Here is a 27,618-nt window from a genome sequence, read left to right as displayed (position 1 = left end):
AGATAATCTTCATTATTAGCCACAAGGGAAATGCAAATTAAAACCACGATGAGGTAACATACATACCCACTAGAATGGATAAAATGCAAAATTCTGACAATATCAAAACCGATGAGGAGGCAAAGCAAATGGTTCTCTCATTCATTGCCAGTTGGGGTGTAAAATGATACAGGCACTCTGGAAAACAGTTTCACAGTTTCTTATAAAGTTAAACATACACTTACCATGTGAACCAACAGTCCCATTCCTGGGTACTTACCCTAGAGAAATAAAAATGCAAATTCAGGCAAAAGTCTTTGAATGTCTCTAGTAGCTCTATTTATAATTGCCAAAAACTGTAAACAATTCAAATGTCCTTCAACATTTGAATGGAAAAACAAACTGTTGTACATCCCTGCAATGGAATACTACTCAGGAATGAAAGGAGCAAGCTATTGATTGACACAGCAACATGTATGAATGTTAAATGTTAATTTTGCTGAGTGAAAGCAGCCGGTCTCAAAAGTTATATAGTATATGATTCCATTTCTATTACATTCTCAAAATGACAAACCTATACTGGTGGAGAACAGAATAGTAGTAAGTTATTTTGAAAATAAAATTTAAAATAAAATATAAATATAAAAGTTTACTTTTCTCCTGATATGGTTTGGCTGTGCCCCACCAAATCTCATCTTGAATTGTAGTTCCCATAATCCCTAGGTATTGTGGGAGGGGCCCAGTCGAGGTAATTGAATCATGGGGGCAGTTACCCCTATGCTGCTCTTCTTGTGATATAGTGAGTTCTCATGAGATCTAGCAGTTTTATGAGGGGCTTTACCCCCTTTTGCTCGGCATTTCTCCTTGCTGCCGCCATGTGAAGAAGGACGTGTTTGCTTCCCCTTCCATCGTAATTGTAAGTTTCTTAAGGCCTCCCCAGTCGTGCTGAACTATAAATCAATTAAACCTCTTTCCTCTATAAATTACCTGGTCTCAAATATGTCTTTATTAGGAGCATGAGGACAGACTAAAGCATCTCCCATATGAAAGAAGTCCAGGTATAAGTATCTGAGCCGAGTATAGAGGTAACACAATCATCAAGTAGATAGATTTTCTCAGTTATCCACCTTCACCATCTCTAAGAAATGGCCCTGCAGAGGCTCAGAACTCAATACCCCAAAATATGGCACATTGGCAATTGAGAAAAGCGCAGAAGCAAGGTCACTCTGCCCTTCTCCAGCCTTTCTCCCCTGAAGTATAGTTATAAAGAAATTCTCTGAAGTACCTCCCCTAAAAGTAGGGCATACCTCCCCTTATTCTAGAGGGGTTTTGCCCAACATCCAGAGGCAAATAATGTCATACAAAGACACAGGAAAGGTCTAAACAAACAGGCCTTGCTGAAGTTTACCCAGTTTATTACCATTAGGTTATTCCTTTTTCTGTCCAATCATGTTTCTCCATAACTATACATTTCTTTCATCAGACTTATCATAAAATTACCCAGTTTTCCCTGGGTCTTTGAGTCCTCATTCCTGAAGATTCCTATGTCACTTAAAACTTTAGTTAAATAAATTTGTTATGCTTTTCTCTTATTAATCTGTCTTTTGTTACAGGGATGTCAGCCATGACCCTTGCAATAGGTGAAGACGAGCTATTACTTTTTCTCCCCTACAGCCCGCATCCTCCTGATACAAGAATATTGACAGAGCACCGCTCATCACAGCCACATTCCAAACATCAGGATGGAGGAAGGGGAAACACAGGGAGCCAGCTCTGTTTCCAGGAGTATTCCCTGTGATTATGTTTCATTTGCCAAAACACGGCCACACCTAGCTGCAAGAGAGCCTGAGGGATGCAAACTATTATCTGAGTGGAATTCTTATTAGTAAGAAAATGGGAAAATGAATATTGAAAAGCAAATTGCCTTCCAACTACAGAGTCCCAATTCCTTTCTCCAGCTCAAGCCAGTCTTCTAAGCTTTTGGCTCATATATCAATAGCCCACTTGACCTTTCCCCTAGGACAGCTAACAGTGATCTCAAATTCACATATTTCTAAACCAAAAAATTTTATTGTCTCTTCCTCCATCACCAAGCCTGTTCTTCCTCCAGTCTCTCATTTTTAATCAAAGCCCCACCATTCACCCAGCTACTCAAGCCACAAAGACTTCCCAGGGACTGGTGGGCTTGAGACAATCAGAATCTCTTCCAGAAGCTAATTACTATCCCATTACAATTTGGCACGGACCCAAACATTTCCCTGCTCATAAACAAATCAACAAATCAGAAAACACTGAGCATCTACAAGGTGCTCAGCCCTGGCTAAGAAATTATAAGGACACCATCAGCTGAGGAGACATGGGGCCTGGCCCAGGAGCTTACAGTGGAGTGGCAGGAGAAGGACACACACACAACCAGAGAGGGAGCAAAGTCAGATAAACACATTAAGCGCCAAAGGACTCTGCAGACCACCGGTGTCAGGACAGCTAGAGTAGCATCAAGGATGTCCCTTGATATAAGCAAAATAACACCACACCCAAAGTCCAGTTAGAAAAAGCAACTGATAAAGCTATGTTGCAGGGGCAGGCAGGATGTCTCATGCCTTTAATCCTAGAAATTTGGGAGGTTGTGTGGGATGATTGCTTGAGGCCAAAGTTCGACACCAGCCTGGGAAACATAGCAAAACCTCATCTCTACAAAAAATTTTAAAAGTTAGTCAGGCATGGTGATGCACACCTCTAGTTCCAGCTACTAGGGAGGCTGAGGTGAGAGGATCATTTGGGCCCAAGAGTTCGAGGTTGCAGTAAGCTATGATCATACCACTGCACCCTAGTTATGAAGAGGGGAGGCAAAAAACAACAACCCACACTTTCCCAATACTTCAAGACAATGGTAGAAGAGAAACCCCAAAGGCTCCATGATGAATTCATTATGCAGACTGACAATAAGGATCTTGGAGATCAGGGAAGTTTCTAGAAGATGAGATCTGAGCTGGACTATGACAGTCAGGTAAGATTCTGCTACCTGGAGAAAGAGAAATCCTTTGAAAGAAGACTTTGGGGACACGTGCCCCAGCTTCTCCTGGGGGTTATTGACACAGAGGAACGTGGCACAAGGGAGCAGTGGTGTGTCTGACATCTCTCCAATCAGTGGAAAGCAGAACTGGGATCAAGGAGGAAGGAAGCACAAATACTGCCAGACAAATTTAGATAATCCCTACAGTGTAGGGGTGGCAGTGTGGTTATGGGCAGTAGGTTTGAGAGGGTAACTGTGGGTGGTGGATCCTGAATACAGAGGTGATGTGTTGGATATTTTTCTCTCTAAGTCAAGGTCACAAACCCACTGCCTCCTGCAGGCTGAATCTGATCCATAGCAATTATCATCTGGTATCCAAAAGAAAGTGAATGCCTTTAGGGTGTTCTTTAGTTAAATGAAGTCCTCACCCCTGTGATCCTACTGTGGCCACTTCACAACTTTGTGATGACTCCATAGCCCAAAGGCATTTGAGTTTTTAAGCTTTGTAGGAAATTTCATGGTACTTTCAGCAAATTAAGGAGTGACATGCTTATAACCAAATTTCTAGTGCAATGATCCTACTGCCTGTGCAAGAAAGAGTGTAGGAAAGGAGAAACCTCGAATGGGGCCCAGTACTTATACCATAATATATGTCTTGGACTTGCAAATGATGAGCCTTGATAATTCAGCTTCCTTAGCTTGGGGGTAACTTGTCCTCTGAGCTTTACTGAAAGACAAATTGGTCATTACAGGCTTAGCTCTGAGAAGACTTCCTGAAGGGCCTGAGAAAATGGTGTGGCTCCAGCTGTTTCAGCTCCCAATGTTTGAGTCTTTACAGCTCAGGCACCACACAAGTGAGTGACAGAACCTTCAGGTGATTCCGGTTCCTGTTACTACTGATGGTGACTGTAGTAGACCCAGAGGTGAGCCCAGTCAGCTCTCAGCAATGCAAGAAGTAGCAATCAAAAGAACTGTTTTTTTCAACTGAGTTTTGAGATGGTTCTATAAGCAGGGAGAGACAATTGGTACCCCAGGTCTCCTGACCCCCAGTGATTCCTACTGCATCTCCATTTCTGAGGGCACACACATGAGCAGGTCCCAGAGGGCCTAGCACCACCCCAACTGCTCTGAGACCCCAGAACGAGGCACAGGGCAGGGGAAGAAGCAGACAACCATATCTGCAGAATGGGTGGCAGCAAGTTCTGGTGACATCTTGACCAGTGGGGTTGTTAGAGAAACCCTTTGGAAGAAGCATGTGAGGACACAAGCCCCAGCTTCTCCTAGAAGGTAATTGACATGGGGGAACATGGCATAAGGGAGCCCTGGGGTATTTGACATCTCTCCCATCAGACCACAAAGTCTGGTCATCAGCTGAACTTCTCAGGTCCTGCCATCTTAAGAACTTGAATTAAATCAAGTTGGCTTGCTCAAAAACTATCAATGGCTCAATTCTTTATTGGAAGAATTCTTAAGTCTCCTGCCTGCACATTAAGTGTTGCAGCTCTTTCACTGCTGTAGTTCACCAAGTTCCAAGTTCTTGTCCTACGACTGATAAGAATGGGGTATGGATACACTGGAGAGAGAGTAAGGCAAAGTAGAATTTATTGAGCAACAGAAAAGCTCTGGACAGTGAGAGGGGACCCAAAGGTCGGTTGCTTGCCACAAGGCTGAGTCTAGGAGTTTTATGGACTTGAAATGGGGAAGTGCATGCTGATTGGTCTGTGGATGTGCTTGAAAAAGCACCATTCAGAAATAGGCACAAAAGCGTAGAGGATAAATTGGGGAAGGGTAGGTATATGTAAAATAGGTAAAGGATAAGGACCAATCTGGAGACAGCATGCCAAATGGGAATGGGAGTTCTCAATCTGGCCCACGGATTTATCCAGAGCTCACAGCTTGGGTTTCAGGCTTAGATTATCCTTTGCTCGAAGGTTGAATTTCACTGGGGACCTAGCCCTGTCTGCCTAAGAAATTACCTGCCTCCTGTCGCTATCACCAGTAGGGCTCTAATAAACTCTTCCCATTTTGTCTCCCATGGCCATGTCTCCTTTTGAAACCAGCTTTGCAAAAGTCACAGCTGAGGAAATTATGGCAGTGAGATAAACTGACATGGCTGACTCCATCTTGTCTCTAGCATCACAGGTTGGTTGTGTTTTCTCAATCCTGGGCATGGGCTAAGCTAACTTTGAAACAAATTTAGTTTATAGTTTAAATAATAGTCCTTCCCCAAAACTAAACTGTTCTTGTAAAACTAATTAAAGGCCACCAAGTCAGGATGAGAGGGGCTTAGGTTCTAAATAACCACCAGCCTTTATTCTGGAGGTCATAAGATTTTCAACTTCTCCCAATTACTCTTGAAGATAACATCACTTTTGAAGAACCTAAGACTGGCCTTTTGAGATATCTTTTCAAGATTTTGCATTTCTGACAACCAGATGGCCCCACCTGGACCTGCCAACCAGTCCTGTGGCCCCCACCCAGGGAACTAACTCAGCACAAGAGGACAGCTTCGACTCCCTATGATTTCATCTTCTAGCAAAACAATCAGCACTCTCGACTCACTAGCCCCATACCCACTAAATTAACCTTAAAAACTCCAGTCCCCAAATTCTCAGGGAGACTAATTTGAATAATAATAAAACTCAAGTCTCCTGTACAGTCAGCTCTGCATGAATTAAACTCTTTCTCTATGACAATTCCCTTGTCTTGATAAATTGGCTCTCTCTAGGCAGTTGATAAGGAGAACTTATTGGGCAGTTACACTTTCCTCCTTCTAGACACACCTTACACAAACTGTTTCTGTGCCTTAGTTCATGACATTTCCCATAGGTAGAATATTCCCCTCCTCTCCCTCTTCTATCTACCCTATTCTTAGATCCTGCTGGAGCTCAGATCCGCTCTCCTATGGAAGGTCTTTCGTGGCCACACTACCCAGTTGCCTCTGTACTCCACAGTACACTAGTGCCTACCATTCATCCATGCATTGCTGAATCAGAGAAGGTCCCTGATGTAGGAGTTTACAGCACAGTGAGAAGAGAGGAGACAGAAAGACCACAACAATCCATCTGCAGCATCAGAAATTCCTTCCAACGAAGAAAGCTATTTTTGTTTGTGTGTGTGTGTGTGTGGGTTTTCTTGCCTTGTATTTTGTGGAAAAGGTAAATAAATGACTCTAAGAAATACTATTTATTAATGATTTTCTTTTTAAAATCATACACATCACACTACTGGCATCTGGCACCTCTTTGTGTTTAGTTTTTCTGTGCAATATTGTATCACAGAGGAGCCAGCAACTTTTGTTTTTCCTTGCAACATCCATGAAACTTTTGCTATTCTGTAGGATGCCTATGTGACAGAGATCACTGATTTGATTTAAAAAAAAAAAAAAAAATAGGAAGGAAGGTAGGGAAAGGATAAAACCTAAACTCCTTAGTATGTCTCACCAAGTCTTTCTGAGCTGTCCTTCTTCACTTGGCCAGTCCCACCTTCCCACACTCCCACGTGCCCTCTTCATTCCTGGCATATGCCACCCACAGGGCAGAAGATTCTGTGTGCTTTCATTCTTCTCTGTTCCCATTTCCTCCTTTACCTGTGGTCCCCAGCTCCAAATGTCTCCATGGTTAGCCCATAACCCAGCTCCCACTCCATCCAACTGTGGAAACTCTCATTCAGTGCTGCCAGTGAAATGTAATTGACAACACACCATGTGTATTAGTTTCCTAGGATTGCTGTAACAAATGACCACAAACATGATGGCTGAAAACAACAGACACTTATTCTCTCACAGTTCAGGAGGCCAGAAGTCAGAAAACAGGGCGTCCTGAGGGTCTGTACCTTCCGGAGGCTTCAAGGGAGAATCTGCTCCCTGCATCTCCCCTGTGGTGGTGGCCAGCAATCCTCAGCTTGCAACTACATCACTCCAACCCCTGCCTCTGTCTTCACATGGCCTTCTTATGAGGACCACGGTGGTTGGACTTAGGGCCCACCCTAGTCTAGGGTGACCCTATCTAACAAATTACACCTGCAACAACCCTATTTCCAAATAAGGTCACATTCTGATGTTCTGGGTGGACATGAATTTAGGATGGCACTATTCAACCAAGTACTCTACCATAGACTCTACCATACTCTAGAAATAAATCACTGTTGTTGTTGCTTCAAGTGCTTACAGTGTAGCGTATGTACCTCATGTGTAGCTCTTTCATAATGCTAACCACAGATGTTTGCATTCATCTATCTATTAATTTGTCCCCAACACGGGCAGAGACCACCTCCTCTTTCTTTTTGTTTTTTCAGCTCCTTGTGCAGGGCCTGCCACTCAACTGACTTCCTAAGTAAATTGCCAACTGAAAATGCAGGAAAGCCATTTACAAGGTCTGGGGCCCTAAGGACCAGTTCTCCCAAAATCCCTGCCTGTGGACAGTCAGTTTTGCTCACCAGAAAAGCCTTGCAGCCCAGGGGGTCTCTATGCAAGTATTAGTTCTGGATCTGAAATCGAGGGTTGCTTTGTGCCAGGCAGGCTCATTTTGAGATCTGAGATTCAAGGCCCCATGCCAGATGTGAAAACAACACCACAAAATCACATCTCTGGCCACTGCCCACTTCTAAAGCTTAGGGTAGCAGAGAACATCAGGTACAACCAGGATATCACATTCTCTCTATTTGGGTGACATATTTCTGGAAACCCTGAAAGCAAACCAACCCCAACTCAATAAGGGTAGTCACAATGCCAGACTCACAACTAATTTGCAGGATATTTTAAAACATGTAATTATGGGTTATTGATAAGGAGGTGCCAGGAAGAAGGTAAGACCATGGTTTTGCCCAAACCAGGAGCCAGCTCCTGTGCTGCATACCCACTGCAGCCTGGACATATGTGGCCCTCCAGGCATCTTCTTTGGAGGGAATGCATGTCTTTTTTTCAGCATAAGGATTTGGACTTCTTTTTAAATAGGAATGTGTTGTTCTTCAAACAAAAATTACACAACTCAAAGAATATGTGTGGCTTTTAGGGAGCGGCAACAGCTGAGAAACCTACACTGGTTCTGGAGGAAATTCAATACGGGCCAACCTAATCGCCATGACGGAGAATTTGGAATGAGTCTGAAATGCCTTCGCATTATTGGACAAACAGCTCTCCCTCCTTCCTAAGCAGGCTGGGGCGTTCCTGGTAAAAGCCCTTTGATAAGAAGAAGCAGCTCCTGGGAGGCGAGCCACCCACCACTTTCTTAGGCACTATTGTCCTGAGCTGGGGGATTGTGACGTGGGCTCCCGGTCTACACAATGCCGCACCTCCTGCAATGGGCCATTCATCGGCCCCAAGGTTCCCTGATGGGAGGGAGCCCATTGACCCCGGGATAATAGATGAAAGTGTTTTCTCACTTGCCTTCCCCTCCTGACCCCTTGCCACCATTTTTCATGCACTGTCTCCTCTTCAGCCAGACGGAGGAATTCTTCCTCTGATGATGAAGGCCCAATGACCCTCTCCCGCATCCCGTAAGCTGGCTGCTTGCGGAGGATTGCCCAAAGGGGTCCCTGCATAATGCAACTAAACCAAGCAAGGGTCACTTCCTTTCCACCCCCGCTTCTACGTGTGCACACATCAACTCACACCCCAAAGCACAGGAGCAGTGCTTGTAAAAAATTCAAATTAGTGCATTTATTCATTTGCTTGTTTGTTTGCTTGTCCAGTGTGTTTGACCTCTTGGTGAATCCACCCAAGACAAAATGAGTTCCCAATTCAATGCCCAAAGTCTTCCCCATCCCCACTGTCTTCTCAAAAGGGCCAGGTCACCAAGCACATGGGGGCAGCAGAGCAAGTTGCAAAGTCTATCCAGTGGATGGCACAACTGCAAGGACCATGGATCATCCAGCAAAGCCCAGGTACTCAGTGGAGAGCCACCTGGGAGATGGGACTGACCAAGGCCACTGACCAGTTAGTGGCTCCCCTGCAACCAGCACCCAGCTCCCCAGCTCCATGCCAGGGCTCCGACCCCTTCAAAATGCCTCCAGAGGAGGTACATTCTCATTAGCAGTGACAAGCAGACAACAATCTGGCCTTGACAAGCGTGTTTTATTATGTCTGAAAATCTATGAACTGCCATATATTTCTTTTTGCAGCCCATAAGTGGCAGGTAATGGTACTTGGAAAGGAGCAAGCTGATCAGAACTCAGCTGAGGGAAAGGGAAAGATGGCCAGGCCTGGGGTCTGGGGTGACTTTGGGTTCTTGAGCCGCTGAAGGATCCTGGTGTGAGAAGGTGGCCCTCTGTGTGCCTCTTGCTGCTTCTTCACCTCGTGTGCATGGGCTGCAGGTGGGGGGATGGCCAGAGGCAGGGCTGGGGACCCTGATGCTTGACTATCTGGGAGTGCTCAGGGACCTGCAGTCTGTGTGTAGGGTCTCAGCACCAAGGCCAAGCTCGGGGCAGACCCTCACCATCTTAGAGAGGGACTGTGGAGGACCAGCATCGGGAGCGCACCCCGGCTCCCAGGGATGATTCCACAGAGAAGTTAATGGACCTTGGGCATCGGGCCTCTGATAGCGTGGGGTCTTTCCAAGGCCCTGTGTCAGGCAGCATTCTTCTGTGAAACAGATGCAACAAGATGCGTGTGCGTGCAGAGAAAAAGAGAGAGAGAGACAGAGAGAAAAAGAGAGAGAGAGATTATCAGAGAGTGAGGGAGAAAAAGAGAGATGGAGAGAGAGGCAGAGAAACAGAGAGAGAGACACACACAGAGCACAGAGAGAGATGACCATACAGAAAGACAGAGATGGAGAGAGGGAGAGAGATAAAGATGGAGAGAGAAAGAGAGACAGAGACACAGAGAGAAAGAGAAGGAGGCAGAGGGACAGAGAAAAAGAGACAGACAGGGAGAAAGAGAGAGACATAGAGAAAAAGAGACAGACAGAAAGAGATTTTAAGCAACTGGCCCATATGACTGTGGAGGCTTGGGAGTACAAACTCCGCAGGGTGTGGCAGCAGGCTGGAGACCCACAGAAGAGTTGCAGTTCAAGTCTGAAGGCTGCCTGCTGGCAGAGCTTCTTCCTCCTCGGGAGTGGCCAGGCCTTCAGCTAATTGGGTGAGGTCCACCCACATTATGGAGGGCAATCTGCATTACTCAGAGTTCACCAATTTAAATGTTAATCTCATTCACAAAACACCTTCACAGGAAAAGCCAGAATAATGGTTGACCAAATATCTGGGCACTGTGGCCCAGCCAAGTTGACACATACAATTAACCAGCACAGCTCTTACCTAGTTGGGCATTTATAAATTATGTTCTACCTTTTTTTTTCTTTTTTAAGAAAAAACTCCCCAAATGCAAAAGCTTCAGGCCCTACAAAGCCTCTTCACACAGCAATGTCCAGGCCTTGCTAGGGTTAGAATCCAAGGCCCCTGCCTGCCTTGGATGCTCTGCCCAGGCCTTCACAGGAGGATCCCAGAGCTTCAGGGACCAGATATGGAGAGGGATGCCCAGAAACAGCCTGGCTGCTCGGGAGGGGCTGAATGCTTATGCCCCTACTCCCCCAAGATAGCCATTGCCATGAGAAAATCCACTTTCCTGCAAGGGAAATTGTGTGAGAATTCCTATCATCTCCCAGAATATTTCTAATGAACAATCTGAAGCCCAGAGAGGCAGGCTGAGGGTAGAATAATCCAAGGCTGTTTAGCCATCCAGGTTCTTACCAACTTAGAGATGCTGTCAGATCTCGTTGTTAGAAGGGAAGTCCCTGGGCAAGCAGGGGCAAGTGCAGCAGGCCTGATGTGACACCTGTGCCGTGGAGCTGCCAGCCAGTGCCTGGCGAGGGCAACCTTTGCTCCAGGGATCCTGTAAGGACAGACACACCCACAGAAGGAGCTGCCTGGTGAGCCAGCGTCTGAGGTGGGAGTGCACTGGCTGGTCTGCCTCTTGGGGACGGAGCGAGTGAAGGTATTTCAGCGAGTGGCACCTGGAAAGACTTGTGTGGGCACACTTCCAACACCCTGCAAGGCCCACAGAGACTTTTCCATGCTACTCTGGGCCCAAAGAGGAAAAGTGACCTCACCCTGATCAGAGCTGGCGGCTGGGGCATACATTGGTTGCTTACTCGATAGTCATTCCCTGCCAATGCCTTGCTGACAGGAGCCCAACTCCATTCAGTGTTCACAGGAAGAGGGTCCTGGCCCAGGGCCAAATGACAATTGGTCTAATCCCTCACAGTGAGCCCATCCTTCTTTGCCAGTGATTGGTTTGGGGCTGGGCACGAGACTCGGTTCTAGTCAGTATGACGTAAGTTTCCCTGGGGAACTCTGGCCGAGGGTTTCAGGAACACATCCTACCCCGGTGATAGATGAGATGATTGTTCAGAGAGTATTGATGCTCCTATTCCCCTCCCCTCCCCTCAGGGTATGATGCACATGCCAGCCCACCATCATGTCCTATTGGCCAAGCAAGGCATCTGCCCAGACATGGGCAGATGCCTTGCTTGGCCAATAGCATGTGAGCAGACATGAAACAGACTTTCGATGTTCTCACAGGCTTGGTCTTACCATTTGCTCCCTGAATCTGTCATGCAATCAACATGCTGGGTTGCTGGTGAGTACAAGAAAATTAGGATGACTGCGGAACAGACCTGAACCTACCTGAAGCCTCAGAGACGAGCTCAGCCTCGCCTCAGCCTGAAGCAGAACAGTCCTGGCTGACCCACAGGTAGACTGCAGAGAAAGAAAAATAAATGGTCTGTTGCATTTGTTATAGGTCACTGAGTTTGGGGTGGTTTGTTACTCAGTGCTTTCATGACAGCAGCTCACTGATACACACCCTCCTGCTGTTCAGTGAAGCTGTGTGGGTGTGGAGCTTGAAGCTACGCAGCCATCTCCCAACCACACTGGAAAGCCAGCGGAATCACAGAGAAGTAACCACGGAGATGCTAAACTGACATCCCTAGAGGTCAGGTTCCATCTCTGCAGAGTGACATCTCAAATTTGCCAACACAGAGACGGCCTCTTTGCCTCGTGGAGGAAATGTTTTCCCCTGTTTCTGTCCACGGGTGCCACTGCCTTCCTATCACCAACCTCCTCGACATGTGGCCTCTCATGAATTCTAAAAGCCTCTTTAAAGTGTGCATTCATTTGTCTGTCATTTATTCACTGGGTCTTTGCTGAACTGGGCTTTTAGAGCAATTAAGCACAGTCTCTTCCCTCTAGGGGTGTTCTTTTGGGGAACAATGGTGGTTTTGCTGTGGCTGAAGCAAGTCTCTGGCACGGCCTGAGGGAAGGAGGCATCCAGATGAGGCAGAGCTGTCCCTGGAGTTAGGCTGTGGAGGGCCGGGAAAGTCAGGCCCAGGGGATAAGGCCAGAGCTGATGGGCAGTGAGAGGCTGTCAGAGGCTGAGTCAAGGGGAAGGGTCTCTCTAGCCATGAAAGTGGTTTCTGTATGTGACCAGGACTGAGTGACAGTGTGAAGAAAATGTGGCTGGGTGGGGTGAGAGAGAGAGATCCTAATATTGCATAATACTGCATATTTTTCTCTGGGTCACATAGTTATCCAGCAATATAAATAATCCACTATACCCAACAAACAACAAAACACCTCATCCAACATGCTTTATAAAGCTGCCTCTAGAAACTCCATAAATGTATGAGGCAGAACTCTGCAGATAGATGAAAACCACGCCCTGCCAGAAGATGAGTGAGCTGAACATTCATTGAACAACCCTCTCATGATGTCCTAGAGAGGTGAGACAAGTGTAAAAGAACATCCAGCTTCACAGACTCATGACCAGATAGAGGAAATCAATATGCTCCCTCTGCTATCATAGAATCACAGAATGCTGTAGACTGAAGGGCAGAAACCATAGACATTTAGCCCCTACGGTTCTGAAGGCTGCGGGGATGGTGGCGGGGGCAGGGAGGGAGGGAGATATCTTGCACCTCTTTCTCTTTTTATAAGGCCATTAGTCCCATCATGACCTAATCTAACCCTAATTTCTTCCAAAGGCCCCACCTCCAAATACTATTACACAGAGGTTTAGGGCTTCAACATGAATTCTGAGGGGGCACATTCAGTCCATAGCATGAGGCCCACCAGAAACAGCTGGGACCTGCCCAAAGCCACAGGAAGCTGTTGGCTACTCGACCATCTCCCAGTTCCCAACGTGGTGGAGTTTGACATGTACTTCAACACAAGGTTTCTCAATCTCAGCGCGATTGACTTTTGGGCCAGATCCTTCCATGCCGTGCGGGCTGCCCTGTGCATTTTAGGAGGTACAGCAGCATCCCTGGCCTCCATCCATGAGACACTAGTAGCACCACCCTCACCACCAAGTCACGATGATCAAAAATGTCCCCTGACATTGATAAATGTTTCCAGGGGGCAAAATTACCCTCAGTTGAGAACTACTGGACTAACTTCTGGATTAAATTCAAGGAAAACTCAATTGAACTGCTTGATAGCAGTTCAAGACTCAAGCCAAATGTGGTCTTTTTTTCTGTACAGCTTCCCCCAACTCTCTTTCCCAGGTCAGAGTAGTTGACCTTATATCTTACGACCTCCTCTGACCTTATGTCCATCATAGATAGGATTGATCCTGTCACATCCTTACAATTCTTTAGTGTTTTATGTGCCACAATAAACTGTAGGCTCTTTGAGGACAGGATTGTGATTTTTTTTTTTTTTTTGAGATGGAGTCTGGCTCTGTCACCTAGGCTGGTGTACAGTGGTGCAATCTCTGCTCACTGCAACCTCTGCCTCCCAGGTTCAAGCGATTCTTCTGACTCAGCCTCCCAAGTAGCTGGGATTACAGGTGTGTGCCACCACGCCTGGCTAATTTTTGTACTTTTGGTAGAGATGAGATTTCACCCTGTTGGCCAGGCTGGTCTTGAACTCCTGACCTCAAGTGATCCACCCGCCTCGGCTTCCCAAAGTGCTGGGATTACAGGCATGAACCACCACACCTAGCTGTGAATTATTTCTTTCTTTATTTTATTTTATTTTTTTTTTGGTATCATAATATTTATTCTTATATGTATCGAAACTCATACTGAACAATGTGCTCTGGGTTGCAAAACAGGGTTTATTTCTCGAACTTATCTGTAAGTCTGGTTGTGGATTATTTCTCTTTGGAATCCTCAGTGCATGGAACAGCACCTGGAACACGAGGAAGGTGTGAGCGGGTGGATTCATTCCACACCCTCAAGACCCTCCTAGCCTGGACACAGTATGTTTTCATTTCATGCCGCCTGACCCCATAGTCTCCCAAAGGCCCGACCCACCAGCCATCCCTGAAGGCCTACCATTCACCAAATATGCCTTGGCCTTGCCCAGTCTACATCTTGCTAGTACCTTCCTTTTCTTGAAATTTCCTTCATACTCACTTCACCCTGTCCAATTCCTAAAATCCTCACATTCTCCAAGGCCCATCTCCAGTGCCTCTTCTCCTAGGAAGAATTTTCCAAACCTTCTAATTAAAAATAATCAACCATCCATGCCTCCCCCATTACCCCAGCCCCTGCTCTCAAAGTGCTTTTTAATTCTGTTATAACCATTTCCGGATACATTCTGTGTCCCTTACTAGACAGCGAACTCCCCAAAGGCAAGAACTGTCATGATCTATTTCCATATCTTCCACGGAGCCTAGCAGAGGCCTGGCACACAACAAACATCACTCAAATCTAATTCAGGTCTCCGAGAGAGGCCAGGCCAGCGGGCGATGGTAAACGTGTGCCTGACTGATTCCTCCTTCAGTGCCTTCAAGAGAAAGATAGTCATTACTGGAAAACATGGTTCATAATACTGTTTGCAAAAGGAAACTGCCCTACAAAATCATTATTCTTGATGAAAAAATGGGTCTGTTTTTTTTCTTGAGAATAGATATCAATCCTAAGTGAAGGATTTAGCCAGAAGGTGAGAGGGAGTCCTCTGAGGCCTGTTAGACCAACACTGGGGCCACACAAGACTACATATGTCCAAGGAGACACAATCTTCAGTTCTTAAGAATTTAAAGTCAAGTGTTGCAGTCTCTTCTGACAGCAAGCTCATTCCGGCCTTCTGGAAAACAAATGCTGGCAATCACATCCATCGTTAATAATTCATAATTAGAAATATTATTAATTGGGGCTGTTATTTCAGTAGCTCTTCTAAAGGAGAAATGCCTAAGTGTCTGGATTTTGAGGTAATTATTGGTACTGACTATTACACTAGACTTTAGAAATGATAAAGCATTCACTACCTAGCAACTTCCCTGACTCCCTCTTACAGCCATATGAGACAGGCAGACAGAATGGGGAGGCCCTCAACAAGTGCCCAGTGTCACTCAATGGCTGGCTGAGACTCTGCCACCATCCCTGTGTGGGTGAGCTGCTCCCAGCCCTCCCTACGAGGGAGGGGGAAAGAGGAGGCCTATTCACACCACAGCCTTGATGGCAGCTGCTGGAAAGGTGGGCTGAGTACTCGGTGAGAATAAGCCCAGGAGGGACAAAGCCTGCCCTTCTTTCTTTAGACAAATGAGCTCCAGAAAGTCCTGAGGCTACAGGAGGAAAGTCACTGGAACCAAGAGATCAGCAGCAAGTTTTATGGGGCTTGGAGGCCACTCATCTCCAGCAGGGTGACTGGCTGGGCCCGGAAGGAAGCAGCCGTTCCAGTAGCAGCCGTGGCCAGTCTGCAGGGCCTCAGGAGTCTACTGCTCATGAGTGGGGAAGTGGTGGGGGCGACAGGGAGATAACGGGGACCCCAGAGCCAGATGCGGCCTGGACACAGCTGCAGGTTGGCCTTGGACAGCTGAGCAGGTTATGCACTGAACAAGGGGCCCTGGCAGCATGGGAAGGGGTAACCCGAGCCTTGGTTTCTCACTGGCAAAAAAATGTGTAATGTGAACCAGTGGAGGCCCTGGCATGGGTGGGGTAGCTGATGCACCCACACAGTGAGGTGTCCCGGGTTCCTGCCCTCCCACACGCACAAACAAACCTCTCCCTTAGTGACTCAGGTGCCAAAAATGATAATTTGGCCCTCTTTTTGGAGTAAGGCATGAAGCCCCTTATTAAAATGCAAAAGCCATTGTCAGTCATTACCACCTTATGGATTAACCAGCGAAGAACAGAGAAGGGTGGCTGGGCACCGGCAGGGCTGTGAGGAGAAAGGAGTAGTGGGAAAGCCAGCTCCAGAAAGAGGATAGAGGTGAACGGGCATCGCTCATTTGTGCCACTCCTACAACCCAGAAGGTACATAACATACATCCGCTCTTCATTCTCACAGCAACCCTCAGGGAAGGCTCTGTTACACCGTTTGATGGAAGTTCAGAAAGACCAAGGTCGCCCAGCGAATACAGGGCAGAATCCACTTCCTACTCAGATTGTTCAGATCCAAGCTCCATGACCTCTGCACTGTGCTGTTTCCCGGCAGGGCCTCTGCGTCAGAGGCGATGGGGTTGAAAGGCACAAGGCTGATAACCATGTTTATTAGGGTATTCCTGGGGCAGCCCATAGGTGACAAGGACTCTGGCTGGGGATAGCCTGATGCTGTAGACACCATTCAGATCCCTGTTTCCCCAGGTGACAGAACAGAATTTAAGCCACACACCCAAGATCTCCCCAGCACGCAGGTGGTGGAATGGGGATTTGAACCCATGGTGTGAATCAACAATTATCTCAACATTGAAAAGTTTAATTAAAAAATAAACAAAGGCTGGGTGCAGTGGCTCACACCTGTAATCCCAGCACTTTGGGAAGCTGAGGCGGGCAGGTCATGAGGTCAGGAGATCAAGACCATCCTGGCTAACACGGTGAAACCCCATTTCTACTAAAAATACAAAAAATTAGCCTGGCATGGTGGCACACACCTGTAGTCCCAGTTATTTGGGAGGCTGAGGCAGGAGAATCGTTTGAACCCAGGAGGCGGAGGTTGCAGTGAGCGAAGATCGCACCACTGCACTCCAGCCTAGGCGACAGAGTGAGACTCCACCTCAAAAAAAATAAAATAAAATAAACAAAGTACAACTGCACCCTTTAAAATCAAGGCCTCACTCTGACCAGCCCCCTTGCTAAATCCATACCCCGGAATGACAGAAGGGACCCAATGCACAGTAATCTGTGCAGCTCAGATTCCATCCTTCCTTCACTCCACAAATACTTTTTGAGCATTTCCTGTGTGCCAAGGTATTTTCTAGTGAAACAAAATCCTACAAATGGCAGATCAGAAGGCTGGGTGGGAGGGACCGTTTATGAATTAAGGACAATCAGCCCTGGGTGTAACTGGCAGTCTCCACCACCTACCAGGGGAAGGGCAGAGGGCAGCTGGGAAGAAGAGGGGCTATGCAGTCAAGCAGGCCTGCGGAGAGCATGTCAGTGTGGTTCCTTACTTCCCGTGTGTTCTCTTGTGCGTGTTCCTTCATTTCTTCAAGTCTCAGTTCCCTCATCTGCAAAACACGGACCACAGTTCTGGCACACAAGGTGTTATGGGGATCCCATCAGATGCCCGCCTGTGTGTACATGGGCGAGTGGGAGTAGGCACAAATGTAAGATGTCATCACTGTTAGGATCCCACAGGAGAACTCCAACTGGGGCCCAGGGCAGTCTCTGGCACCCCCCAACACATCCTCTTCAGAAGGATGCCAGGTCAATGCTTCTGAAAGAAACACCTGACCCTTCAGTGGCTGCCCTTCCAGACTCTTTGCACAATGCCTAAGGCCCTTCAACTGCTCACTATTCCCAGATGCACCATACTTTCTTTGCACATCTCAGCCTTGGCTGTTTCTCCAACAGTCTCTTCTTCAGAAAGCCTTTTCTCATCCTGAATCTTGGTTGGGGCCACCCCATTCTGTGCCTCCATACTTCCTGAGTGTATCGTGTTATGCTGTCATTGTAGGTTTCATCTCTTGTCCCCTGGACTCTATATGGGCTCCATGAGGAAAGCAGCCATATGCTGTCCATTATTTGTACCCTCGGGGCCAAAAGTTGTGCTAGGCAGTGGGAGATGCAGGTAAGTCCAGTGAAGAGGGCACTTTCATTCTCTGTTCTGTACAACTTTTAAAGCAACATTGACTTTGGTAGTTGGTTTATTTTTTTTTTTAGAGTTGGGATCTTGCTCTGTCACCCAGACTGGAGTGCAGTGGCGTAATCATGGCTCCCTGAAGCCTCTAATTCCTGGGCTCAAGTGATTCTTTCACCTCAGCCTCCAGAGTAGCTGGGATTCCAGGCCCCCACCATTCCCATGGCCAGCCTGTAGTTCTTATGTCAACGTCATAAAATTGGGGGAACATTTTCAATGTTCCAATAGCATCTGTAAAATCCACGATGAGGTCCTTTCTATTCCCTGTATTTCAGCTTCCTGATTTGTAATCACGGTGGCTTCATCTCAAAGCCTCCTCTAGCCAGACATTCTGGGATTCTGGGATCTCATGAGAGGCCAAAACTTTGGCCTTCAAAGAAGTCAAAGTGTTTTGAAGGCCAGGGTGGTTGATTGCGCGCTCTCTGCCTAGAGGAGAACTGAGCAGCCCCACCCCCTACCACATGCCTTGCAGAGCCCCTTCGTGAGTAATATCCACCCCACCCACACCCACATCAGGCTTGGTCACATGACCTGCTTTGCCAGTGGAACATGAGCAGAAGTGATGCTATCACATCTAACAGAGGTTGCGAGATTCACTGCCTGGTTTGGCCATTTCTTTGTTTTCCCCTCTGCCACAAAATCAAGATCAGGGGCTATACTTTCAGCCTCAGAATGAGAAAGTACTGGATCAGAGCCTCAGCTGACTTGATGACCTAAAAAACAATAATAAAAAAATTGTTTTCATTTTGTATTTATTTATTTATTTTACAGACAGGGTCTCACACTGTTACCCAGGCTACATTGCAGTGGCAAGGTCAGAGCTCACTGCAACCTCAAACTCCTGGGCTTAAGTGATCCTCTTGCCTTAACCTCCCAAAGAATAGCTGGGACTACAGGCATGTAGCATCATGCCCAGCTAGTGTTTTCTCTTATTGTTTGTAGAGGCAGGGGTCTCCTTATGTTCCCTAGGCTGGTCTTGAACTCCTGGCTTCAAGAGATCTCCCTCCTCAGCCTCTCAAAGCTCTCAGATTTCAGGCATGAGCCCCTGCACCCTGCATTTTTTTTTATAGTCCACTGACATTTTGATGGTATTTGTTACTAACGATAGTCTAACAAAAGCTGACTGATACAGCTTTAATTTGCATTGCTTAAAGAAAATACCACTGGTACTAAAATGAAATGTAATCATAGTTTGAACCTTTAGGTTCACGTCAAGGTTGGGATATAATAATGACTAAGCAAATCCTCCAATCATTCCAAGGCTTTGTGTCATGTGATGCTCAGCACTGTGGATACAGATATGAAAAGTCTCCCTGCCCTCTCTCATGTGTCTCTCAGTGTGAGTTATGGCTAATCATTTGATCAATTTATTCCATAATTTTTTTTTTGAGATGGAGTTTCGTTTTTGTTGCCCAGGCTGGAATGCAGTGGCACAATCTCAGCTCACTGCAATCTCCACCTCCTGGGTTCAAGTGATTCTTCTGTGTCAGCCTCCCAAGTAGCTGGGATTACAGGCACCCACCACCACGGCAGGCTAATTTTTGTATTTTTAGTAGAGACGGGGTTTCACCATATTGGTCAGGCTGATCTCAAACTCCTGACCTCAGGTGATCCACCTGCCTCAGCCTCCCAAAGTTATGGGATTACAGGCGTGAGCCACCGTGAGTGGCCTATTCCATAAATATTTATTGAGCATATACTACAGGCTTAACATTGTTTTAGGTGCTAGGGCTGCAGCAGTGAACAAGGCGAAGTGTCTGCCCCATTGGAACTTATGAGTTGGGGATGCTTACACTCAAGGAGGCATATTTAGGAGGTCACGATCACTAAGTACTGTCTAAGGTCTAAGCCAAAAATTATTTTCCCCCCACTTCCCTGAAGGAAATAAGGAAACATCTCAAAAGTTGATAACATTGTTCCAGATTGAGATTGCAGCTGCATACCAGCTAGAGGGAGGTTCTCTGCTTCCCTTCGCAATCCAGGAGGTCTATCAACAACCCCTCCCTTATGTGCTGCATTGCAGAGTTTACTAATTGCTTTTGCCTTCATCACGTCTTTTAATTCCTTCAACACTCTGCAGGTAGACAAGTTAGGATTTTTCATCCCCATTCTACAGAATAGGAAATTGAGGCTGAGAGAGGGAAAGGAATAGTTCAAGTTGAAACAGCCAATTAGAGCTGGTGCCCTAATTCTCAGTACAGTATCCTTTTGCACTATCTTTCTGACTGCTCAAATATTTTCATAAGAATGTGATATGTGTTTATGAGCAGTTTTCATTGACATATAAAGGATTTTAGAGGAATTTCTAAAGCAAATTGTTCTTCATTTTTCTGTTCCGTGTATAATAAGTCTCTCTAGCTACAGTGTAATAATCAACATAAGATTGAGGAAGAAACCTCGAGTCAAGCCAAAGTGAGTTTGGGTCCATTTCCCCCTGCATAGAAACTGAATCCCAAGCTCAAGGTGAGAGAATTCATATCTACCCAGAGGCAGTAGAATGAACACAGGCTTTTGCCAGGCATGGTGGCTCATGCCTGTAATCTCAGCACTTCGGGAGGCCGAGGCAAGTGGATCTCTTGAGGTCAGGAGTTCGAGACCAGCCTAGCCAACATGGTGAAACCCCGCCTCTACAAAAGAATACAAAAATTAGCCAGGCATGGTGTCATGCACCTGTAGTCCCAGCTACTTGGGAGGTGGAGGTGGGAGAATGGCTTGAACCTGGGAGGCGGAGGTTGCAGTATGCAGAGATCACGCCACTGCCCTCCAGCCTGGGTGACAGAGTGAAACCCTGTCTCAAAAAGAAAAAAAAAAAAAGAATGGGCCAGGCGTGGTGGCTCATGTCTGTAATCCCAGCATTTTGGGAAGCAAAGGAGGGTGGATCACTGAGGTCAGGATTTCGAGGAGTTCAAGACCAGCCTGGCCAACATAGTGAAACGCTGTCTCTACTAAAAATACAAAAATTAGCCAGGCGTGGTGGTAGGTGTCTGTATTCCCAACTACTTGGGAGGCTGAGGCAGGAGAATCACTTGAACCCAGGAAGCAGAGGTTGCAGTGCACAGAGATCACACCACTGCACTCCAGCCTGGGTGACAGAGCGAAACTCCAACTCAAAAACAAAAAGAAAGAAAGAAAGAAAAAAGAATGAACACAGGCTATGGAGTAAAACAAACTTGGGCTGGAACTGTAGCTTCATTACTTAATAGCTGTGAGACCATGGGCAAGTCATCCTCCGCCCTGAGCCTCAGTTCTCTCCTCCTGTGAAATGGGAGTGGCAATACCTCTCCAGCAAGTGGTTATGAGATTTTCTGCGGGAAGTGCTGGTCCATAGCTAGCCCTCGCTAGATGCTCAGTGTTAACTTTGATTGCGTGGCTGCTATATTCAAGGTATCATGTCAGACTTTTTGTACATACTGTATCCTCTTCCTTATTTTTATGACACTGAAATAAAGCTATTGTCATTTTACAGATAAATGATACATTTTAGGGGTAAAGTGTCAAGCCTGCAACCTACCTTCAAATAGTTCAGAAAAAAATGTATACATACAGAAAGCACCCCCCGCCGACACACACACACACACAACGCATATAGAGGAAAAGTAAAACAAATACAGGAAGATGTTAATAATTGCTGGATCTAGATAAAGAGTATACAAGTGGCCAGGTGCAGTGGCTCACACCTGTAATCCCAGCATTTCGGGAGGCCAAGGTGGGCAAATCACCTGAGGTCAGGAGTTCAAGACCAGCCTGGCCAACATAGTGAAACCCTGTCTTTACTAAAAATACAAAAATTAGCCAGGTGTGGTGGCATGCGCCTGTAGTCCCAGCTACTTGGGAGGCTAAGGCAGGAGAATTGCTTGAACCTGGGAGGTGGAGGTTGCAGTGAGCAGAGATCACACCACTGCACTCCAGCCTGAGAGACAGAGCGAGACTGTCTAAAAAAAACCAAAAAGCATACAAGTACTCATGGTACTATTTTTTCAACTCCTATGTGGTATAACATTTGTCAATCTAAAAATTTGGTAGAAAAAAACTCCAATTTGAACAATAAACTATCTGGCCACCCTCCCCAGCTTTCTCGTTCCTTCTGAGCACTCTGCCCTCACACCGCCGTTCCCTCTGCCTGGAACACCCTTCCCGGCCTTGCTTAGCTGGGGAACTCCAGCCATCAGGACTCTGCTGCAAAGTCATTACTCTGGGGAGTCCTTCAGACCCGGGGCCTGACTTCCTCAGGTCTCAGAGCCCCTCTCCCTTGCTTGAGGTTCCCCTTGATCACACTGTAGCCTGCGGATAGATCCCGCACTTCTCTTTCTGGAGACTAACGTGCTGAGAGTGGGAGCTGCATTATTTCTATTCCTCATCCCCAGCCCAGGATGCAAAGTCATCCAAGGTTAAAAGAAAAATCTCACCTAAAATCAAATATGTTTTTCCAAAGCTTTCCAAGCCTGAGAAATGCCAGTGAAACATATTTTTCTGACCTGTCTCCAGCAGGCACTCAGAAGAGGCTGGTGAACAAGTGAATCAATGAACTCTACCTCTGATCCCAACTTCAAAACCTTTTCTATAAGCAATGGCATAGATTCAGATGCTTCATCCCAATCTCAGTTCTGGACAACAGGAGGTGAGCCAGTGGTGCCTGCCTGATAGAACCTGGGGTAGAGTGAAAGAGGCCAGGTCCTTGAACTGGCATTGGAACTGTCAGAGGTTCACATCCTCATTCTACCAACTACTAGTTTAATGCAAACTGGTGCCTGTCACTTAACCTTTCTGTAGCTCAGGTTTTCCCCTCACTGAAAAGGGAGAAGACACCTGGTTTTTTTTGTTTTGTTTTTGTTTTTTTTGAGACAGAGTCTCTCACTGTTGCCCAGGCTGGAGTGCAATGGCACGATCTCGGCTCACTGCAACCTCCACCTCCCAGGTTCACGTGATTCTCCTGCCTCAGCCTCCCAAGTAGCTGGGATTATAGGTGTCCACCACCACACCCAGCTAATTTTTTGTATTTTTAGTAGAGATGGGGTTTCACTACGTTGGCCAGACTGGTCTCGAACTCCTGACCTCATGATCCGCCCTCCTCGGCCTCCCAAAGTGCTGGGATTACAGGCGTGAGCCACCGCCCCCGGCCTGGCATCTTTTTATGTCACATAATATTATGAACTTAGGTACTGGGCATATAAAGTGGCACTCAGCACTCAGTGGCTTACTCCACAGAAGCCACTGGAACACTGTCCTTTGACCAAGTCACTGGGCTTTCCCAGGGGAACCCACATGGTCACGAGAAAGGAGTAAAGACAGGGCAAGGTCCATGCAGCCAAGTATGTATGTATGTGTGCATGTGTGTGCATGCCTGTGTAAGACTGTGTTTGGGAAGGTGAGGAGAGCCACTGTCTGCCCTCTGATGCACTCTGAAAGGTCACCTGGATCAACCCAGCCTGCCCTAACCACCTGAACCACCAGACAGGAGGCTTGCTGGCTCCCAACAGGATTATAAATCATTTATTTCATTATGAGTGTGAGGAGCCGCTGTGTGTTTGAAGTGGGATTTGAAGCAAAAGAAATGGGCAGATTAATGGAGCTTGAAGAAAGCTAAGTATCACTTGCCATTCCTGCCAGAGCACACAGGAGCTGGCAGCTGAGCAACATTTGAAAAACATGTCTCTCAATTAAAAGCATTTTCTCCTGGGTGCTTCATGCTGGAGCTCACTTGAATTAATTGCATGGACATCAGAATCCACCCACCAATGTTCTGTGTTGCAAAGTGGTTCATGAAGGTCCAGGTCTCTCCCAGTACAGAGCCAAGTGCTTTGAGTGGCATCAAAGTCCCGCCTCTCCATCCTGCATCTCCTGTAACTTCCACCCGCCACCAGTCACCAGGAGCCACCTGAACACACATGTCCCTCATCTCCTGTACATGCTGCTCCTTCTGCCTGGGGTGTTCTCATGCCCCTTCCCTGCCAGGAAAATTTCTGCTCATCCTCTGAGAAACAGTTCAGCAAATATCTATTCTGTGAAGCCTGACACCCCCTGAAGAGATAAGTAGATGCTCCCTCTCTCGTGGCACCTGTTATCAGAGCACTCAGCCACTCTGTTCACCACCCTGTCACCACCTAAATGCTGAGTTCTTTGAAAGCAGAGACTATATTATGTGTGTAGCCTGCAAGTAACTGCTAGTCAATCAATGTTTGTTGTCTAAGTGAATAAATAAAGATTTATGGTCTCAAGGCTGATGCGTTAAAGGAAAAATCTCACCTAAAAATAAATGCTTTTTTCCAAAGTTTTCAAAGCCTGAGGAATACTAGTGAAACATATTTCTCTGACCTCTCTCCCAAATCATTTCATCTTGAATTTCTGAGCACTGCCCTGCTGCTAAACACAGAGCACTGTGACATTGTTCTCACCTCCACCCTCCACATTCTGTCAGAATCCCAGACTGTCACAATGTCAGCCCTCTTCTTTCCCCAAGAAGGGGAAGATTCCTTCTCTCCCAACTGAATCAGGCCAGATCCGGGAAGGACCAGGAAGCCACACAGAGAATTTCATACATGATCCCAAGGAGAGAGAGAATGTTGGGGGCAGGGATCCAAACTAAGGAGATGAAGAATCATTTAAGGAACTGGGAGAGGGCTGGAGAAGAGGAGGGCTCTGAGCCAGCAAGACAATGGTCTTCAGATGTCAGAAGGGCTGATGTGTGGACCCAAAGCCAGACAAGCACTCAGGATGTGGTGTGTAGGTTGCTTCCTTGTGTCCCTGTTTGCAGGGTACAGGCCCCGTTTCTGCCTGTCCCCGAAACATAATTATTATGAGTCCCTGTTCACTCTCAGCAGTGTCCTGGTTTAAGCAGTAATCACACAGACCCTTTAGTTACAGGGACATCTTTTCCAGTTCAGTAAAGGCCGAGTTTTCTGGCAGACAGAGCTGTTCAAGGCCACAGGTCCCCAGCAGGAGGAACTGTGATGCATTCATCCTTATGGCCCAGTACTGAGCACAGGGTCTGGACCTCACATGGGGCCTGTGCCTGTTTGTCAACTGAATGAATGACTGATTGTCTTCAAAGGGAAGGGATTCCTCATCTCTGGGAGTATGTCCATGCAGGAGGCCTTGCAGGAGATTCGAGCATCACAAGGGAAGTACGACCAGAAGATCTCTCAGCCCTTTCTTTTCCACAGGGGTTATATGTGAGTCAAGTTCAGGGATCAAGAGCAAAGCACTGAGGAAGCAGACAGCTTGGGCTGGACCCCTGGTCCATCACCCACCAGATTTACAAGATCTGGTGAAATTGTAAGATCTTGAGCAAGTTACTTAAACTATCTGTGCCTCAGTTTCATGATCAGTAAAGTGGGTGTAAAAATATCTACCTCAAAGAATAGTCCAGAGAAGTCTTTAAAAATGTCATATATGTAAAATACCTGGCCCACAGTGAGCACTTTTTAAACTGTTTTCTATTATTTCTAGGACATTGAAGGTGATGGAGCTGATGCTGGACTTTGTCCTTTAAACCCTGGGGCGGTGACTGCCAGTGTTGGATCAGGGACTCACTTCTTCACAGTGGTGGCTGTGGAAGGTTAATCACATGGCGAACCCAGTAACCAAGATTAGGAGAAAGAAAATCCCTCCAACCGCCTTTGAATTTCAGTTATGTGTAAGTTTGCTTTGAACTGGTGATTCAACTCTTTCTCTTGGAGAGAGAACAAAGCAAGTGATGTGGAACTCAAATCTCATTTACAACTTAATTTTAAAACTGAGGAGATTTGCAACATTGGAGGGAGCAGGAAATAAACTTTAGAGTAATTGCTCGGTTGCCTTTTAAACATAAGGCATTGCATTGCTATTTTTATTGATGGTATTCAAATGAGAGGATGCCACAGCTGCGGAGGAACCTAGGAGATCATTGACAGTAACTCCTTCACTGAGTGAGGAAGAAATCACAGGCCAGAGACCGGAGGGGCGGTCTCCTGTCTCATAGTAAGTTAGAAACAAGACCAGAATCAGATGGTGCAGATCCTCGGGCTCCTAGACAGGTCTCGGTAGAAGCCCAAGAGTGAAGTAATAGCCTCAAACAGCAACCTTACTGCCCATCTGTAAGAGAAGAGGTGGAAGGATGATATTCTGAGCACTGTGTTTACAAAAACACAAAGACACCCTCAAGAAGTAGGCTGATCACCTTCCCCAAAGAGTTTATGACAGACAGGGAAGCAGCCTTTATGCATCACTTCTTAAAGTTTATGAGCCCAGGAAGCCATATATTGTTTTATGTTCATTATACAGGCAAGTAAATTGAGGCAGGAGGGCAACTTTTGTTTTCAACCACAGAAATCCCCAGTCCTAAAGCCCATGTTTGCAGGTGTTGGAACATTAGAATAGGAGAGCTATGTTGTCAGAAGCCCAAAACCAGCAGCCCAGATAAAACCCCTGGTTTTGCTACACCTAAGGGTGCTCTAAAGCACTAGTTTTTGTGTTTGTTTGTTTGTTTGTTTTGAGACAGGGTCTCACTCAGTGGCCCAGGCTGGAATACAGTGGCATGATCATGGCTCACTACAGCCTCTACCTCCTGGGCTCAAGCAATCCTCCCACCTCAGCCTCCCGAGTAGCTGGGACTACAGGCGAGTGCCGCCATGCCCGGCTAATTTTTTTTTTTGTAGAGGTGGGGGTCTCACTATGTTGCCCAGACTGGTCTTGAACTCCTGGGCTCAAGCTAAAGCATTACTTTCCAAGCTGTGCTCCTCATCAAAGGTGGAGCACGAGAGAGGTTGCCGTTACCCCACTTTTGTCTCCTATGGAAGCAGCCCTGTTCTTATTTGGTTTTTATTTGGGAAAGTCAGTATAAGATTTTACAGCAAAGCGCCCTGGTGTTTTAAAAAAGCATTGCCTGAGAGCATTCAGATGATTTATCCACAACATCTTTCGTTCCTGGCAGTCAACTGTGCCACGTCACGTTGGCGGATGTGCTTCTACGGAGTCTGGCTGCGGTGCTAAGCTGTCTTTCATAGGGCCACAGGGTCCCTTCCCTACAGCCCCCAGCCAGGTGCTCCAGCTGCATCTGCACCCACCAGAGGCAGCCAGGGGTCCAGGAGCACTGTAGAAACAGAGACCAACATGCAGGCCCAGGCGAGGCCCACCATGCTTCCTGATGTTCACCCTGGCTGGGCCCGATGGAATATGGTCTGTCCTTGGCTGGCGGCTCCTGCTCACCCAGCAGCAGCCAGGGCCATTTCGATTAACCCTTCACAGCCACTCCACTTTGGACATGCATGTGCTCTGTTCTTTTTGCTGATTTAATTAACGTAATATAATGGAAATAAAATAATTGAAGGGGCTGCCACTTCAGAAAAGATCATCGCTGGGCTGCTCGGGAAGCATTGTTGCACGGTCTCCAGGCAACGCTGAGGAGGCCCGAGAGGGGCTGGCGGTCCCCAAAGCAGCCAGCTGGCCAGGCCTCATCCCACAGCCCCAGCCCAGCCTGCCTAGGCCCAGATACATGGGCCACGGGCACAGGGATATTCCTTCAGACCCTTCCTTCTTCACCACTTTGTGCCTTTGAGTCCTGAACTGTAATTTCCCAGTTTGAAATAACTAAGAAAAATCAAACAGAGCAAAATAAACACATCGGAAATTCA

General features: G+C 46.8%; 2 long non-coding RNA genes and 1 pseudogene across 3 annotated transcripts, besides 4 other annotated features; 1 reads left to right on the top strand and 2 right to left on the bottom strand.

Moving 5' to 3' along the window:
* Nucleotides 1–8,318: 8,318 nt before the first annotated feature.
* LOC105373443 (uncharacterized) lies at nucleotides 8,319–11,727 on the top strand. 2 transcript variants are annotated; one of them, XR_939751.2, is made up of 3 exons: nucleotides 8,319–8,488; nucleotides 8,776–8,875; nucleotides 11,507–11,727. It is a non-coding gene; the product is annotated as an uncharacterized LOC105373443 (long non-coding RNA). The 2 variants fall into 2 exon arrangements; XR_001739183.1 differs by having other exon boundaries at nucleotides 8,319–8,875.
* Nucleotides 9,047–10,963, bottom strand: LOC124908049 (uncharacterized). Its single transcript, XR_007088649.1, has 2 exons — nucleotides 10,676–10,963; nucleotides 9,047–9,572 (listed from the first exon to the last, which is right to left on the bottom strand). It is a non-coding gene; the product is annotated as an uncharacterized LOC124908049 (long non-coding RNA).
* Nucleotides 9,471–10,090: an enhancer, noted in NCBI's record as "H3K4me1 hESC enhancer chr2:16384451-16385070 (GRCh37/hg19 assembly coordinates)". NCBI's record gives its function as "activates a minimal SCP1, AML or CMV promoter by ChIP-STARR-seq in naive H9 embryonic stem cells {active_cell/tissue: H9 hESC(naive)}" and the evidence as "EXISTENCE:reporter gene assay evidence [ECO:0000049][PMID:30033119]".
* Nucleotides 10,859–11,360: an enhancer, noted in NCBI's record as "H3K4me1 hESC enhancer chr2:16383181-16383682 (GRCh37/hg19 assembly coordinates)". NCBI's record gives its function as "activates a minimal SCP1, AML or CMV promoter by ChIP-STARR-seq in naive H9 embryonic stem cells {active_cell/tissue: H9 hESC(naive)}" and the evidence as "EXISTENCE:reporter gene assay evidence [ECO:0000049][PMID:30033119]".
* A 2,250-nt stretch (nucleotides 11,728–13,977) lies between the features above and the next one.
* Nucleotides 13,978–14,070, bottom strand: LOC124900535 (uncharacterized; annotated as a pseudogene).
* Nucleotides 15,320–16,519: an enhancer, noted in NCBI's record as "P300/CBP strongly-dependent group 1 enhancer chr2:16378022-16379221 (GRCh37/hg19 assembly coordinates)". NCBI's record gives its function as "activates an origin of replication core promoter dependent on BRD2, BRD4, P300/CBP, MED14 and CDK7 cofactors, with strong dependence on P300/CBP, by STARR-seq in HCT116 cells {active_cell/tissue: HCT116}" and the evidence as "EXISTENCE:reporter gene assay evidence [ECO:0000049][PMID:35650434]".
* Nucleotides 26,592–27,248: an enhancer, noted in NCBI's record as "H3K4me1 hESC enhancer chr2:16367293-16367949 (GRCh37/hg19 assembly coordinates)". NCBI's record gives its function as "activates a minimal SCP1, AML or CMV promoter by ChIP-STARR-seq in naive H9 embryonic stem cells {active_cell/tissue: H9 hESC(naive)}" and the evidence as "EXISTENCE:reporter gene assay evidence [ECO:0000049][PMID:30033119]".

The sequence above is a fragment of the Homo sapiens genome, chromosome 2, assembly GCF_000001405.40.
Source record: "Homo sapiens chromosome 2, GRCh38.p14 Primary Assembly".
Classification (NCBI taxonomy): Eukaryota; Metazoa; Chordata; class Mammalia; order Primates; family Hominidae; genus Homo; species Homo sapiens.
Note: the sequence above shows the minus strand (reverse complement) of the source record. Positions and strands in the feature narration are given on the sequence as shown.